Consider the following 18,098-nt stretch of genomic DNA (forward strand, 5'->3'; position numbering starts at 1 on the left):
GCTGCTGCTGCTTTTTTTTTTTTTTTTTTTTTTTTTATTGAGACAGAATCTTGCTCTGTCACCCAGGATGGAGTGCAATGGCACGATCTCGGCTAACTGCAACCTCTGCTTTCCGGGTTCAAGCGATTCTTCTGCCTCAGCATCCTGAGTAACCGAGATTACAGGCATGCTCCACCAGGCCCAGCTAATTTTTGTATTTTTAGTAGAGAAAGGTTTTCACCATGTTGGCCAGGCTGACCTCGAACTCCTGACCTCATGTAATCCACCTGCCTCTGCCTCCCAAAGTGCAACAGCTGCTTCTTGACAGTTGTTTCCACCCAGGCCGACGGTATTAGATTGCTGTCCAATCAGAGCCAGGGAAAGGGGAGCCTGACTATTTACATGCAAGGATACAGAGATCTTATACCTAATTCACATCAATTAAATCTTAGTCAAGCATTTACTTCCAAGGAAATCAAGAGACCTGGAGTCTAGTTTGCTTCTACAGTGAACTGGCTGAGTGATCTTGGCCATGGCATTTGACCTCTCTGGGCTTTGTTAAAGAAAAGAGATAATCTCTAGCCTGGGTGCAGTGGCTTACGCCTGTAATCCCAGCACTTTGGGAGGCCGAGGCAGGGGGTTCACTTGAGTTCAGGAGTTCGAGACCAACCTGGCCAACATGGTGAAGCCCCATCTCTACTAAAAATAACAAAAATTAGCAGGGCATGGTGGCACATGCCTGTAATCTCAGCTGTTCAGGAGACTGAGGCAGGAGAATCGCTTGAACCCGGGAGGCGGAAGTTGCAGTGAGCTAAGATTGCACCAGTGCACTCCAGCCTGGTGACAGAGAGAGACTCCATCTAAAAAAAAAAAAAGAGAGATAATCTCTAAAATTTTGTGAGTTTTCTGATACTTAACTGTCAAAATACAGCAGATATCTCAAGTTTCCTCAGTTGTAAAATGGACTTAGTGAAACTTGCAGAGTTTTTCTACAAATTTAAAATATCTTATGTGTACAGAAAGGGAAAAATAGTAACATTACCAGGGAGAAACCCAGTAAACATCACTTTAGGCAAGTGATCAAAGTTGACATCACCTGTAATAAAACCTATCAATATCATGTGCCCCCAAATATGGTTTGAGGAGGTAGCCATGTCACATCTGTGACAGTCTTCCCCTAAATCCATAACCTCAGTCTAATCATGTGAAAAATATCAGAGAAACCCAAATTTAGGGTCATTCTACAAAAACCTGACAAGTACTCTTCAAAAGTGTCACGGTCATGAGAGACAAAGACTGTGGAATGATCAGAGACTGGAGGACACTATCTTTGCAACTCTTTTGTAAGTCTTTGCAAGTCTTTTGTAAGTCTAAAATTATTTTAAAATAAAAAGTTTTTTAAAGGTCTCTGTGAAGTGGCTAGCTCCCAGTAGGCACTTAATGAATGAGAGGTATTATAATGATAAGCAAAGACATTGCTTCCAATAGTGTTAGTAATCAAAGAAATGCTTCTTGGTGGAAAAGACAGAGCCATTAGTTGGCAATGCTGTGCAGCAGAAACCATTCCAGCCACAGATATTACATGACCGTGGGTGAAATATGTTATAAAAACTAGTTCTTTATCCTTGAAGGGGCTTCTGGGAATTGAAATGTGCAGTTGTTTATGTGTTCATTATCTGCCCTTTGTTCATGGGCTCGAGTTGGACTTCTCCCTGATAGCATTGGTTTCCACAGCTGTGCCATTGAATAAACCTTGAGTTTGGACCTGTTCATCTGAGAGAATGTTTTATCCACAACAACTGACAGAGCAAAATGAATGGCACCTTGCCCTTTCTGTGTTTGATATGCCCACCCTGCTCTGACAAGAGGCTCGCTGGTGTCACACACTTCTGTTAGTTACTCACAGATGGTGCTGGCTGAGACAGCTGAGGAAAGAAAGCTCAGTGGGTATGCGGCCCAAGACAGCTCCTTCGCCTGGAGCAGATCAGCAGAGAAACTTTGATTGCACTGGCAAAGCCAGAAGTGTAAGAAATTTCTCTTTGCATAGGAAAATTTCATTCACCAGATATATAACACGCATTTATTAAGGGCCTTCTAAACCTGAGAGGGAAATGGGAACCCACTTCCCAGCTCCACGGTCTTATGGGCAAACGGGAAGTTAAATAAGCAAAAACAATACAGTGTGGGTCAGTGCTCTGAATTTCAGGGTGGGATAGAATGCTAGGCTGGGACCCAAACTTATGACAGTGGGGGAAAGAAACCCCACCTTTGCTGTCTATGCCACTGGTGACTTTGAGGGTGGAAGTCAGTCTTTTTGTTGCAGGCAGATAGGCCAGCTTCTGATTGGAGATGCTGCATACCACATGAGCCTGGGCAGATTATACCTATTCCTGTGCTGTCCACATAGCAGATATTCAGTTAATGCCCATTGAGTGGATGCTGATTTGCGTCAGCGAGTAAATGTAGCATTCGACCTGATCTAACTCCAAAGTAATATTAAATTCAGGTCTTCTCTAACAACACCATTTATTGAGTGCTTAAGAAAATCCTGGCACTGTGTAAAATGTATTACATAAATTATTTAATTGTTACCAAAACCTAATAACAGAATGACTGTAATTGTACCTATTTTATAGGTGAGAAATCTGAGACAGAAAGGAAGAAATAACTCACCTAAAGTTACACAGGCACAGCCAATAAGGGGCCAACCTAGACTTTGAACCGAGGTGGTCAGTCACCAGAGACCACTGTCCTCTATTCTGCCTCTCCAAGACTAGTAAAAAGCCCTGGGCATTTTCTTGGAGGGACAGATGGCTAGGCTGATGGTTCCTGCAAGCCCAGACATAGAGTCCTTCAAAGCCGCAATCCCAGGGATCAGGAGGCTGATAGTACTCCCTATTTTACCTGTCACTTCCCACCTTCTTCCATAGCCTCTAATCTTGGATTATTGAGACTGGTCGCATGGGAACAGGCATGACTGCAGCCTAGGACATGCCTCCACTCTGCCATACTTGAAATGTGCTCATCTCCTTACAGCCCAGGGAGCAGCTATTGTGGGTAGAAGACAAGGTGGAGGCCAGGCAGGCACTTCCCTTCCCCAGAGCCACTTATGCTCTCATCTAAGAGCCCTGAAACCAGGTGTGACATCCCAGGAGTTGACAGACAGTCTGGTTCAGTATCTAATTCCAACTTCTGTCTCAGATGCCTAATGTGGCATGGCTGAATGAGTCAACATATAACCTGTACAGTAAGTCCTCACTTAACATCATTGATAGGTGCTTGTAAACTGTGACTTTAACGAAAACATACCGTGTGCTGTAGGGACTTAACTCTTGTTTATATCAGTTAGCCTGGTTTCACTATACAGTACATCATTTTGCTTAAAGTCACAGCTTACGAGAACCTATCGATGATGTTAAGTGAGGATTTTCTCTGCTCAGGTGCACTTTTTTTTTTTTTTAAGACGGAGTCTCTTTCTGTCACCTGGGCTGGAGTGCAGTGGCGTGATCTGGGTTCACTACAACCTCTGCCTCCTGGGTTCAAGCAATTCTTCTGTCTCAGCCTCCCAAGTAGCTGGGATTACAGGCACCCGCCGCCACACCCGGCTTATTTTTGTATTTTTAGTAGAGACAGGGTTTCACTATTGTTGGCCATGCTGGTCTCGAACTCCTGACCTCATGTGATCCACCCGCCTCGGCCTCCCAAAGTGCAGAGATTAGAGACGTGAGCCACATGGCCCAGCAGGACCACTTTTTAGCAGATTCAGTCCCAGTGTTCATTTTGTGGATGGGGAGAGACAAGAGGTGGCAAGGTCAAGTGTGCAGGTAGAGACAGGGATTTTCTCAAATGAGGACTCTGCTGAGTAGCATTTTCCATGCAGACATTTCCAATGAGCGCTGACCCAAGAACATTCTAAAAAAGATACCAAATCTAACATTGAATAATGTTCTGATATCCTAAAATTTTAGGACTAAAAATCATGTTCTCTAAAATTCACAGAATATTTTTGTAGAATTCAGTACCTCCCGTTCACCCTAACTAGCTTTTTTGCAATATTGTTTTCCATTCATTTGATGGCCAGTAGTTGGGTGGTCTGTATAACTGCCTACTCAATAACATGTCAGCAGTTCTCAGCTTCTTTCCAGTGTTCACCTTACTCAGATACTCCCTTTTCATTTTCTGGCAACACCAGCACTTCATGGCAACAGAAATGTCCCTAGCCAGGTTCTCTCTCTACCATGCAGTCTCTCTTGCTCTCATACTCACAGTGTTTCTTCACATCTATTTTTAGTTTTCCTGGCTCAAGCATCTTCAGGCCACTGAAACACAACCCTCACTCTCTTTCTCTCTCCCTCTGGCATGCATGCTGCTGGTAGGAGACCCCCAAGTCAACATTGCTTCAGAAATCCTTTAGCACTCATTTCTCAGGAGAACTTATGGCTTCAGAATCACAGCTCGGTTTTTAAGATGGACATAACCTGTACGACCTTCTGATGGGCTTTCAACTTTGAACTGGATGTGGACACTTTTCTCTCAGATGACAGAATTACTCCAACTTCCCCTTTGCAGTTGCTTCCTTTCCTTGAAGGTAGCTGTATCTTATTTTCTTTAAAAAGCTTTTTCTTCCAAAGCCACTTGCCATGCCGACCGTCATTAGCGCATCTGTGGCTCCAAGGACAGCGGCTGAGCCCCGGTCCCCAGGGCCAGTTCCTCACCCGGCCCAGAGCAAGGCCACTGAGGCTGGGGGTGGAAACCCAAGTGGCATCTATTCAGCCATCATCAGCCGCAATTTTCCTATTATCGGAGTGAAAGAGAAGACATTCGAGCAACTTCACAAGAAATGTCTAGAAAAGAAAGTTCTTTATGTGGACCCTGAGTTCCCACCGGATGAGACCTCTCTCTTTTATAGCCAGAAGTTCCCCATCCAGTTCGTCTGGAAGAGACCTCCGGTGAGTAGCTTCCTGCTTGCTGGCTGGGTTTTCCCCCCACGGAGGAGTCCTCTCACTCAGCACCTCCGGCAGCTCAGCTGTGCACATGGGCACTGGGGGAAGGATCCTGGCAGCAGCTCTGCTGGGCTCTGTCTTTAAGTGTGAAGCAGGGAGGAGAGGAACAGGTCTCAGATATTTCACCAAATCTCAGCAAAATCCAGAGGGAGAGCGCAGGAGGTGGGGCTGATTCTTATGCTCTGGCTCTTTCTCTCTGAAAAAAAAAAAAAAATCTTGCTTTTTATAAAAGTGGGTGGAACTCAGTTTAATTCATCCTGTAAAAATAAATATTCCTTTCTCAGAACAAATTCCAGACAGCCCAGATGTACCTGTTCGTTTTAAATATTATTCATCTTTGTAAGATTATTTCAGTTTCTCTGGCTAAAATCATGATGTTATTCTTCTTTAATTTACCAATGGCCATATCTTTCTGAAACACAGAAACCCTAGAAAGAGAAGAGTCATAGGCAAGGAATATTTTTTCATGCATAAAATGTTGGGGTTAAAGAGAGAGAGACCTAGCAATCGCTTTTGTCCACCTACCTCACCTCATAAGTGAGGAGTCAAGGCACACTAGAGTGAAATATATCTAGTGGGCACATGACAGAGCCCGGATTAAAACTTTCTGTTTTAGGAAACTCTCCCAGCCTCTGGGTTTCATTTACAGTGATCGCCAGGAGGGAAATCACATTCCCCTGGCTCACCTCTCTGATCATCCCTCCAGTGTGACTCTTGTTCTTAATTCGAGAAATATTTATTGAGCATCTACTAGTGCCAGCACTGGGCAAGCAACTGGGGGGACAGCAGTGAGTAAGAAAGACCAAAATTCCAGCTGTCTTGGAACCTAGGGTCCTGAAGGGAAGATGGGCATTGAACAAGAGTGACATTGTCAGGAGACGATGTTCTGGGTGCCACAGGATCATGTGGCAAGGAGAGCTAACCTGGTCCAGGGAGACAAACCCTCTCTGAGGAAATGATGACAAGCTGAGACCCAATACTATTGATTAGCCATGGTTTTCTTTAACCTAAGGTGGGCCAGGCATGGTGGCTCATGCCTATAAACCCAGCATTTTGGAAGGCCCAGGCTGGAGGATTGCTTGAGCCCAAGAGTTAGAGACCAGCCTGGGCAACAGGGTGAAAACCTATCTCTTTTGTACTAAAAATTCAAAAAATTATCCAGGCATGGTGGCACATGCCTGTGGTCCTAGCTACTCAGAGGCTGAGGTGGGAAGATCACTTGAACTCGGGGAGTTGAGGCAGCAGTGAGCCGAGATCATGCCACTGCACTCCAGGCTGGGTGACAGGAGTGAGACCCAGTCTCAAACAACAACAATAACAACAACAAACCTGAGGTGGAGTACTAGACAACCCTGTATATTCCATAGGGGCTCTTCTTGGTTCTATGGTAAGGCCCATAACTGTCCTGAAGGCCTTCAGTTTAGAAGATAACACTACTCTGCTATCAGAGTAGTTGGACATGTCACAACCCCCTGCTGAAATATCTTCAGTGACATCCCTCTCTCGGCCCCCACTGCCTTCAGGACAAGTCCAAACTCCTTAGCCAAGCCATAGGCCCTTCTCAGCTGGTCCCTGCCTACCTGTCCAGGCCCATGTCCATCCTCTTTCCCCAGATCCTGACACACCAGCAGTGCTTGGACATTTAGCTGCTCTGTAGTTCCAAGTCTTCTCACACCGGAGGCCTTTGCTCATGCTGTCTGTCTGCCTGACATGCCTTTTTTGTTCCTATCTGAACCTCTGCTCAGGTGTCACTTCCTTCAATCTTTCTCATGACTGATTTCCTCTCACTGAGAGCAGAAATCCTTCCTGTTCATCTTTGAGGCCCCCTCACCAAGCTCAGGCCAGTCCCATAGTGGGTACTCAGCTGATGCTGGTGAGTGAAAACCCACGCCCAAGGGCCTTGACCAGTGAGACAGGATAGGCCTGCGTTCCCAGGCAGGGAGTTCCTAAAAGCCCTTTCTTGGGCCAGACATGGAGGCTCATGCCTGTAATCCTAGCACTTTGGGAGGCAGAGGTGGGAGCATCAATTGAGCTCAGGAGTTGGAGACCAGCCTGGGCAACATAGTGAGACCCTATCTCTATAAAAAAAGTTTAAAAAAATAAAAGCTCTTTCTCAGAATGGGGAAAATTAAAACCTACAAATACTGTTTTCAGTGAAATCATTGGTGGACTTGAGTCTTCAAGCGAGACTTACAAATTAATAAAAATTCTTTAAGGGCCTGTTATGCTCTAGGTACTAGATTGGGCAGTGTCCATGTTTGAAATGAGGGGTGCAGAAGACTTGTCTGTTCTAAATTGTGCCCCCACCACCACCATCACCAACAACAAAGATCCTGGATTTTCCACTGTTTGAGTCACTAAAGGACCAGATAACAAAGGCCACTCTTGGATAAAATGCCCACATGTTCCCCTGGGGTTAAGATCACAGGAACACTGCCCATTGGGTTCACTAGCATAAATGAGAAATATAAAATTAGAGATGGTCAGAGTTGGAATGATTCTTGGAGAGGTGCTCCAGTGTCCTTGCTTTATAGGTGATTAAGGCCCAGAAAGGGCAAATGACTTATCTACAGCCACACAAGTTGACTTGGAACTGAAAAACTGAAATGACTCCAGAACTTTCTGACTGTAAAGCACTTCTTGGAGACATCAGTTCTCCATAAACTTCTTCAGATGTAGTGACCTTTGCCAGCCCTATGCAGTCTGAAAAGACTGTGTCCTATCAGGAGAAGCACCACACAGGTGAGTAAAGGCCTTCCTGCTTTTACTGTCTAAGGCACAGAACCTTTGGAAACCAATCTGAATTTTTTTTCGACCATCAAGTATTATTTATTATAATTACAGTGATAATGATAATAATGATAAAGGGAGAATTATTCCTGGCCAACTATAATTCTAGTTAAAATAGCATGCTGCACTTTCAGCCTTTCCCTCTTAAAAGAAAACAGGCTCTGGCCGACTGTTCCCAGCTCACCTGTAATCTCTTCTCTTACTCACCAGTGCTACCTCACAGACTTTCTTCCTCTACTCGGGAACATCATGCATTGAGTTTCCAGGGCAAACAATCTGGTTCCTCTAGACTTTCCTTATATGATCTATTTCTAGGATCAGAAAGCAAACAAATTATTCAACACTTCTCAACTGTTAAGGCAAGTTTTCTTGATGACAGATCCCAGGGCAGAATAGAATGGGTTCTAGAACAGGGCTTCTGGGATGCTGGTGCCCAATATACTAGGGATAGGTTGGGGATGGGAGGGCAGGTCGTGTTTCATTCCATGGGGTGGAAGGTTCAATTGCACCACACTCCTGGCCTGTCTCCTTCCCATGGTGGGTTTGTAAAGAGAACTTGACCTGTAAAGCCCAGTTCTTGGCTTCTGTCTTTCTCTGGGAAGCAAGCTGCCTGCAAGAAGCATGGCTTCTGCTCTCTGCCCTCCTTGCAGTAAGTTTTCTGGAGGCAAGTCCCCATGGGGAGTCATGCAGGAGTCCCTGGGCCACCTGGTAATGTGTGGTTAACAGTAAAGATAATCGCTAATCTTGAGTGAGAACTCACCACATGCCAGTAACTAAATGCTTTCCATATGTTAATTCATTTAATCTTCACAACAATCCTGTGAGGAAGTACCATTATTGTCCCACTTTACAAAGGAGGGAACTGAGTCTCAGAGGGATTAAATAACTCGCGCCAGATCTCCCAGTTAGTGAGGGTTGGAGCTGGGATTTAAACCCACACAATCTGGCTCTAGAGCCCCAAATCTATCTAATTCTGAGATTTAGATGTCAATATCCATTTTTATTAAACAATAAATGTGGGATTTTGGACTCCCACCTGCCCTGCACTTTTGTAGTATTCCTTTATTGGCTCAAAACTCATGCATGGAAGTAAGGTGTCATTTATTGGGCCTCCTCAAGACACAACAGGCATTGAGTGACACCCCAGGGGTTGCCCCTGAAAGCATCAGCCTCTATAAGTTGGAGATGGAATGGCACAGTGGCTAAGAGCCCAGGCTCTGAGGTCAGATAACCTAAGTTCAAGTCTGGGCCTGCTACCTAACACTTAGGTAATCTTGGTCACATACTTACCCTCATTTTGCCACAGGTTCTCCATGTGAAAAATGGAGAAAAACCATAATTGAAGAACCCATCTCTTAATTAATTGAGGATTAAATGAGTTAATGCAGGCTAAAGGCTTAAGACCAGCACATGGTTGAGTGCTCAGTAAACATAGACTACTCTTATTACTGCCTACAAGCAGCTATGCAGTCTCTTAAAAGTGGCAACATCATAAACATTTTTCCAGCTTAATTTGTGCCTATGACCAGTCAAGATATTAGCTACAGCAATGTGTTTGAGTACTTCATGCCTGGTCTAAATGCATCCATCCATCTCAGCATGAGGATGTGTGTGTGAATGCTCCCCTCATGGGCAGGGGACTGCTTGTCCTTTAGGGCAATTCTAGTTATCTACATCAAATATAAAATGTACATTTGGTTGTGAAAATCTGAGTGTATCATAGAGCCAGGAAGGAGACTACAAAAGAGGGATCACACTTGGCTGGGAAACTTGGCACCTTGCCCAGTGATTGGCTTTAAAGGCTCACTGAGACCAACTTGCTGAGCAAGGGCTTCGTTTTTCCCATCTGCATGTGCCTCAGTCATGCCAGGTGGAGAGTTCTTAAGCTTCTTCTCTCTCATCTCCTGCAATTCCCAAAGCAGGGGCAACCTAGATCCCTGCTTCTTTTGGAGGGATGAGAAGTGAAGGGCCAGTTGCAGGACCTTGTGATGAAAAGGTATCTGGTCCTCTCCTCACCCTTGGTAACATGGGATCCCAGAATTGCTCCACAGGGCCCTGCCCTGCACCATCAGCTCAGCTGGCCAGGGCTTCCAGCAGTGGACCCTGACAACAATGAGGTTCCTGGGCTCCTCCTGTCTCTGGTGCTAGGTGGAGTCACCTTTCTGTAAATTCCATGTTATTCCAGACCCACCCTAACCTAGAGCTTGGAGAAGGAAGGGCCCACCGTATTTAGCAGCTGGATTAACCCAGACTTCAGGTTAAACTTCCCTCCATCAGCATGGTCTCAGTGTTTCTTGGCTCTGCTAGGAGAGGTTATTTCTGGTTGGGCCTCCAGTTCACAGCCCTGAATCGGAGTCAAAACTGCATCATTGATATACAGCCACCTCCAGCTTAACCTCCAGCTCCTTCCCTAGGAAATCCGTTCTCCCTTCCTCCACTGTCCTCCAAGCTCCTTGGGCTGATAGCTGGGCCTTGCAGTTTCTCATCGCAACCTTCTGCTTAGCTCTCTCCTCTATTTGCTGTTGGGAGTTGGGGGAGCTTGCCACCTTCCCACTTAACTCCAGATCCAGTGCCTTCTCACTTGCTGATGGTGGCTGGAGCTCCAGCTATGGGTCTTTTCCCCTCACCTTTTCCCCTCACCTCTTTCCCTCAACTCCTGTCCCCACCTCTCTGTCATTACAGGGCCCCACCCGTTCCCAGCTCAGAGCTGGGTCTCTACTTCAGCCACATTTCTCTGGTGTTTGCCTTTCTTCCTGCCAGGTATTACTATCATACCCATATCCATCTGTGCTTTGCCCAGTAGTCCAACCTCACCCTTAGCCCTGCTCTTCTTCACTCCTGGGGCCAGCTAGTGCCCTCCACCAACACCTGGACCTGTGGACACCTCTTTCCCAGACAGACGGCAGCAGCCTCTTAGTCCTCTGAATAGATGACTTTATTCCTTGTATTCTGGTACACAGAAATCTCTTGAATTAGGCTTATTTTAAGAATAGAGTTTAGATAAGTTTCCCAAGCTATAATTCATCATGAACCTTATTTTCCCAAGTCTAGAAGATTCTCAATACTAGTACTTTCTTGATCTTATCAGAGGGTGTCCATGGAAGGTCATGACCATCACCCAGCTGAGTGCAGTAGAAGGAAGCTTTCTAATGTAAGTTGCATCACAGTTTCAGAGATGTGAGAGAAATTCAGAAATGTGAGGGAAATTGTGAAATGTAAAACGTGAGGGAGAAAAGCATTCAGAATGGAAAAATAAGACAAAGAGTCCCTTCCCATCTAACTCACAACCCTGCCATCCCCAACCTATTCCTTTTCCCAGGCTCTTTCTTTCTTCCGTGCTGTCTATCGACATGGACCCAGCCACACCGGCTGGTTTTTGCTGCTTTCTGTATGACCTGGTCTCTTGCCCCTTCCCAAGGTCCTCATCATCCAGGCAGAACCAACTTCTTCCTTGTGCCAGGGCTGTTACACCAGGAGAAAAAAAAGTATGACATTCTTCAGGGTAGATCTTCTTACTACTGTGGAATTATTGTCAAGTCTTTAAATTTATTTCGCCAAATGTGCTCACTTTCTGAACCCTTAACATGGCAGAAACATCTTCTCTCTTCTCGAGGAAAACCTGTAAGAAAAAATCAGAAAGATTATTATAATTACAGAATTACAATAATCTCTGGGGTGGGGGAAGGAGAATTAAGTATGATTGTTTTCGAGGAAGAAAAGAAAGAAAAACACCTGCCCGTTTACTTACAAGAGGGAGGAGAGCTAGAACTGAAAGGAAAATGGAGTGGAGGAAGCAACAGGGCTTGTGACGACCCCTAACCTGGTGTTCTTCCTCTCCACGACCCGACCCTCACAGAATTCTTTTTTTTCTTTTTTTTTTTCTTTTTTTTTTTGAGACAGGGTCTCGCTCTGTTGCCCAGGCTGGAGTGCAGTGTCTCCAGCTCAGCTCACTGCAACCTCCACCTCCCAGGTTCAACCAATCCTCCCACCTTGGCCTCTCTAGTTGCTGGGACTACAGGCATGCGCCACCATGCCTGGCTAATTTTTGTATTTTTAGTAGAGATGGGGTTTCACCATATTGACTAGGCTGGTCTCAAACTCCTGACCCCAGTGATCCACCGCCTCAGCCTCCCAAAGTGCTGGGATTATAGGCATGAGGCTCTGCACCCGGCCTCCCTCACAGAATTCTTTCCGAGTGCTTGTGAAACTTCTGAGGCAAGTGACTTGGTAGAGGGTGGAGGTTCCTATTTTGGTTTACACAAGCAGGGGTGAGCCAACACTCAGAGTGTGGAAAGCACAGGAGTGTGGGGAGAGAGAAGCACACAGAAAGGAGCTGCTAGGAACCGGCTGAACTGTGGTGGGAGTGAGGAGGCTCTGCCCTCTCAGAGGCTATGGAGTGGTGTTCAAGACAATTCACAAGGAAGCCTGGTGCCTCAGCTAACACTGGGTGGCATTCTGCTGAAGAGGAGCTGACACGTACTTTTCCATTTTCATTCAATCTTCAAGTTTAAACAATCACCATCAGAACTTTCAGAAGTGTATTATATACTCCAGAACACCAGAAATATAGTATAAAAGCTGCTATTTTTAAAATACCCCAGAGATATAGGACCAAAAATGGGAACTACTTTCAGCCTTTCCAGATGGATGGCTTTCTTTCCTGATATAAAGGTTTTAAAGAGAAAAGGATGGCTCCATCTCCTTGAGTAACCTACAGCTTGTAACTTTCACAGTCTGAACACTCATCCTTATTTCTAACTAGAATGTTTCCAGGTGCAAATGTAATATATTTTCTCTGGCTGTGACCCAAAAGACAGTGAAATAGAGTCAGCTGATTTTCCCTGTATGGTAACCCTCCCTATTTTTTTCTCTCTTTTTTTTAAACAGAGATAGGAGTCTCACTATGTTGTCCACACTGGACTTGAACTCCTGGGTTTAAGTGATCCTCCTGCCTCAGACTCTGAGTAGCTGGGACTACAGGCATATCCTGTTTTTGAATCATGTCATCCCTCTTTTAGTTAATTCAGATCAGTCACAAAAGTGTTCCAACTTTATGCCATAGGCATGGCTTTTCCAACATGGAGGACGTCAGTGCTATAAACCTTACACAGCCAATCCTTGTTATTTGCAGATGCCATATTTGCAAATTCACCTACTCGCTAAGGTTTGTCTCCTCAAAATTAGTACTTGAGGTGTTTTTGCAGTCATTTGTGGGCATACACAGAGCTGTGAAAAATCTGAGTCACCCCACATGCCTGTTCCCAGCTCAGGTCAAACAAGGCAACACTCAGCCTTCTTGTTTCAGCTTTGATACTGTAAAGAATGTCCTTTTCATGACGTCTTTAGTGCCATGTTTTTCTCATTTCTGTGCTTTTTATTGGTGACCTCCAAGCATAGTGCTGAAATGCTGTCTAGCATTCTAGGAGGCTGTGGTGTGCCTCATGGAGGAAATACGTGTGTCAGATAAGCTTTGTTCACACACAAGTTATAGTCAGTTGGCTGTGAGTTCAATGTTATTGAATCATCAATCAATAAACAATAATTTAATGAATCAATATTAAATAAGGTGTCTTTAAGCAGAAACATCATAAAATAAGGCTCTGTATTGATTGGTTGATGAAAATGTGACCAGAGACTCATAGGACTCTAACTCTGTAGTTCCCCTAGGAGCAATGGTTCAGTATTTACTAATACAGTGTTCTCAGCGTTATTATAAAACATAACTACCAAGAATAATGAGTATTGACTATACTTCATTTTCTCTGTATTCTTAAATATTACAGCTTGAAACAATGCTCTATTAAGAATGTGGGCTGGGCGTGGTGGCTCACACCTGCAGTCCCAGCATTTTGGGAGGCCAAGGCGGGTGGATCACTTGAGCCCAGGAGTTCAAGACCAGCTTGGGCACCATGGTGAAACCCTATCTCTACCAAAAATACAAAGATTAGCCAGGTATGGTGGTTTGTGCCTATAGTCCTAGCTGTAAGAGTTAAAAAGAAAGAGGAAAGAAACATGAAAAATGGCTCAATAAAGACAGGTTTATTTTGGAGAATAAACCTGAGAGGGGCTTCTGGCTGATTTCTGTCAGGAGTACTCTCTCTTACAGACTAAGTGTATTTAAGGGTTCAGGGTGAGAGAGCCTATCACAGGCTTGGAATGTTTCTGTGTGGAGGAGAAGTTCATTGTGGGTTTGGAATGTCTCTGGTTGGAGGGGAGGTTATCTTGGGGCTGGCTTGTCTCTGGTCAGGGAGAGAGTTTATCTTACGGTTGGAATGTTTCTGGTTGGAGATGTCATTTGTGGTTTATGGTCATACTGACATTAGCCATTAGGCTGATGCCCTTTGGGTTGGATTTAGGCAGTTTTTGATCAAGGGGCACTTTAAAATGGTGGTGCTTGTCCAAGATGGTGATGCTCCTGCTCTGTCACTAGCTACTTGGGAGGCTGAGGTGGGAGGATCACTTGAGCTACGGAGGTTGGGGCTGCAGTGAGCCAAAATTGCGCCACTGCATTCCAGCCTGAGTGACACAGTAAGACCATCTCAAAAAGAAGAAAAAAAAAAGAATGTGATCAGTATGAAGTATTGCAGCATGTTTTAATCCATTGCAGTCATTCTTCTTTTTCATGTTCAAATTGTTCCATCTTTGGACAGTAGGAGCCCCTGTATGTTGCCTGTATCATTTCACGTTGCTCCATTAATCTTTTATCCCTTTCTTGTTTTCTGGCCACAACAAAATGTGCCACGCCCATCTTGTACATTTGTTGCCCCACAACTGGAATGAATCATTTCTTCAAGAAACCCAGTTCCTTTGGTCTGAAAGGGAGGGAAAGAAAGGGCATAAGATTGAGAGGACAGATGGCCACCAACTTCCCCAGCACTTGGCCATCGCATCAGCACTTTCTTTCTTTCTTTCTTTTTTTTTTTTTTTTTTGAGACAGAGTCTTTACTCTCGTTGCCCAGGCTGGAGTGCAATAGCGCGATCTTGGCTTACTGCAACATACATCTCCTGGGTTCAATTCATTCTCCTGCCTCAGCCTCCCAAGTAGCTGAGATTACAGGTGCCCGGCACCACGCTTGGCTAATTTTTGTATTTTTAGTAGAGATGGGGTTTCACCATGTTGGCCAGGCTGGTCTCGAACTCCTGACCTCAGGTGATCCACCTGCCTCAGCCTCCCAAGGTGCTGAGATTACAGGCGTGAGTCACTGCGCCTGGTCTCACATCAGCACTTTCAAGTTGGAAGCTTTCTGTCCATACCAGACGGTCTCTTGCTCTAATGACCTCTTCCATGTGCCCCACTGCCTCTAAAATTAATACTGACTCCTGTGTATCTTCTCAGCCAGGAGTCATTTGACCTGTGTTACTCAGTTCTGAAAAGAAGAAATCCTAGGTTGGCACACAAAAAAAAGTTACTCCATGCCAGCATGAGAAGAGAGGGAGGGGGCTGAATCACAGAAAAACCTAGGCTGTGGCAGGAAGCTCTCTGCTCCTAGTGCCTACGACCCAGTTGTTTCTTCTCCCAGGAAAATTATATATCTTTCCAATGAAGCTGGCTCAGCGAGTGGTCTGCTTGTGATCTGCTTTAAGAGTGTTACCTTCTGTCAGACAGTTTACAGAGAAGTGAGGTCACTGTCCTAGCCACAGAGAGGAAGAACTGGGGGCATTGTGCAGAGTGGATAAAACAGCTAGAGTTAGAACCAAACAGACCCGGTCTGAACACTGACTCGGCCACTAGCAAGTCACATAAGTAAGTCACATTTTTTAAGTTTCGCTTTTCTCTTCTGTAATGAGGATAAGGATATTCCCATCATAGGGCTGTTTTGAGTGGCATTCAGCGTCCTAGTAGGTGTGCAAGGTAAGGTAGCAATTACTATTAGCATAGGCAGCAAAGGGTAGGAGCATAACACAATGATGTTATGACTTCATAACATCAGAGCACATAACATCAGAGCACAGGCTCTGAAGTCAGGCAAACTTCATTCAAATCCCAGCTCCACCGATTAACGATGTGACCTCAGGCAAATTATTGACCATTCCGAGGTCTCAGTTTCTGCATCTGTGAGAAGAAAATGAAAATTCCTACTTTCATAGAGTTGTTGTAAGGATTAAATGAGATTCTATACATAACATAATACAATGAGTCAATAAATAATGATGATAGTAACTGAAAGACAAAACGAGGTACCCATTTGAGAGCCAGCCTTCTGTCTACTCAGCAGAGAATCATGATAGTGTCATCACGGGGGTAGGGGGGATGGGGAAGGTGCATATGTTTCAGTGAAAGTGACAATTATATAAGTAACTTTTAGGAGCAACTTCTATTATATTCTACAAGACAGCAGCTCCTCCTGGGGGTCATGATGGGGACAGAGCTGTAGACATCATGGTGAACAAATTAAAGTGACTCAGCAGTTTAATGCTGACAATGAGAGGGGCTGGGACAGAAATGGCCAAGAAATACAAGAAAAGATGCATTTTCCTAATTATAAATAAGGCAAAGCATCTTTTTTGTACACTTGTCTGTTCCTTGATCATCTGTATTTCACTGTACATGAAACACCTGCTAATGCCTTTTGCTGATTTTTCTACTGAGTTGTCTTTTTCAATTTGAATTGTAGGCATTCTTTATATATCCTGGATACTAATCCTTTCTTGGTTAGATGTGTTACAGATACCTTCTCCCACCTTGTGACTTGCCTCTTCACTCTCTCAAGAATACTTTTTTAGGCTGGGCGTGGTGGCTCATACCTGTAATCCCAGCACTTTGGGAGGCCGAGATGGGCAGATCACCTGAGGTCAGGAGTTCGAGACCAGCCCGGCCAATATGCTGAAACCACATCTCTACTAAAAATACAAAAATTAGCTGGACATAGTGGCGGGAGCCTGTAATCCCAACTACTCGGGAGGCTGAGGCAGGAGAATCGCTTGAACCCAGGAGACAGAGGTTGCAATGAGCCAAAATCCTAGTACTGCACTCTAGCCTGGGTGACAGAGCAAGACTCCATCTTAAAAAAATTAAAAAAAAATCTTAAAAATTAAAAAAAAAAAGGCTGTTGGGACTTTTATTGCAGTTACATTGAATCAATATGGGAAGAATACACATCTTGACAATATTGAGTCTTCCTATCCATGAAGCAGGGATGTTTCTCCATTTAAATAGGTGTCTTTTAATAAAAGTTTTATAATTTTCTCAGTGACATCTTTAACATTTTTTTTTCTTTGAGATGGAGTTTCGTTCTTGTTGCCCAGGCTGGAGTACAATGGTGCAATCTCGGCTCACTGCAAACATCACCTCCCAGGTTCAAGCAATTCTCCTGCCTCAGCCTCCCAAGTAGCTGGGATTATAGGCATGCACCATAATGCCTGGCTAATTTTGTATTTTTAGTAAAGACAGAATTTCACCATGTTGGTCAGGCTAGTCTCAAACTCTTGACCTCAGGTGACCCCCTACCCTTGGCCTCCCAAAGTGCTGGGATCACAGGTGTGAACCACTGCGCCCAGCCTGCCTTGAACATCTTTTGTCAGATTTATTCCTAGGCATCTTTTAACAAAAATGGTTAAACAAAAGTCACTTTTTTTGTTGTTTTTTTTGAGTCAAGGTCTCATTCTTTCACCCAGGCGGTGGCTCACACGTGTAATCCCAACACTTTGGGAGGCCGAAGCAGGCGGATTACCTGAAGTCAGGACTTCAAGACTAGCCTGGCCAACATGGTGAAACCTCGTCTCTACTAAAAATACAAAAATTAGCCAGGCGTGATGGTGGGTGCCTGTAATCCCAGCTACTTGGGAGGCTGAGGCAGGAGAATCAGTTGAACCCAGGAGGCGGAGGTTGCAGTGAGCCGAGATCGTGCCACTGCACTCCAGCTTGGGTGACAGAGGGACACTCCATCTCAACAACAAAAAAATTATTTTAAGCTATTATTTACCCTGTAATGCCAAAGTCATGGTTTCGACCAGCCACGGTGGCTCACACCTGCAATCCCAGCACTTTGGGAGGCTGAAACGGGCAGATCACCTGAGGTCAGGAGTTCAAGACCAGCCTAGCCAATATGGTGAAACCCAATCTCTATTAAAAATACAAAAATTAGCCAGGCATGGTGGTGTCTGGGTGCCTGTAATCCCAGATATTTGGGAGGCTGAGGCGGGAGAATTGCTTGAACCCAGGAGGTGGAGGTTGCAGTGAGCCGAGATCATGCCACCGCACTCCAGCCTGGGTGACAGAGCAAGACCCTATCTCAAAAATAAATAAATAAATAAGTAAAGTCATTGGTTTTCAACTTTAGTGGACATAAGACTCTCCTGGTGAGCCTATTCAAAATGCAGAGTCCC

The 18,098-nt window shown here is 44.8% G+C and overlaps 1 protein-coding gene across 3 annotated transcripts in view, besides 2 other annotated features; it reads left to right on the forward strand.

Annotated features, from left to right (window-relative positions):
• Positions 4,315-18,098, forward strand: part of CAPN3 (calpain 3) — a 52,817-nt gene continuing 39,033 nt past the window's right edge. For all 3 annotated transcript variants that reach the window (NM_000070.3, NM_024344.2, NM_173087.2), the window contains exon 1: positions 4,315-4,928. In NM_000070.3, the coding sequence (NP_000061.1) occupies positions 4,620-4,928 (309 nt within the window). In that variant the 5' untranslated portion in view covers positions 4,315-4,619. The remainder of the gene's footprint in view (positions 4,929-18,098) is intronic.
• Positions 4,723-5,223: an enhancer, noted in NCBI's record as "H3K4me1 hESC enhancer chr15:42652107-42652607 (GRCh37/hg19 assembly coordinates)". NCBI's record gives its function as "activates a minimal SCP1, AML or CMV promoter by ChIP-STARR-seq in naive H9 embryonic stem cells {active_cell/tissue: H9 hESC(naive)}" and the evidence as "EXISTENCE:reporter gene assay evidence [ECO:0000049][PMID:30033119]".
• Positions 8,270-9,236: an enhancer, noted in NCBI's record as "OCT4-NANOG hESC enhancer chr15:42655654-42656620 (GRCh37/hg19 assembly coordinates)". NCBI's record gives its function as "activates a minimal SCP1, AML or CMV promoter by ChIP-STARR-seq in primed H9 embryonic stem cells {active_cell/tissue: H9 hESC(primed)}" and the evidence as "EXISTENCE:reporter gene assay evidence [ECO:0000049][PMID:30033119]".

This window comes from Homo sapiens, chromosome 15 (genome assembly GCF_000001405.40).
Source record: "Homo sapiens chromosome 15, GRCh38.p14 Primary Assembly".
NCBI lineage: Eukaryota > Metazoa > Chordata > Mammalia > Primates > Hominidae > Homo > Homo sapiens.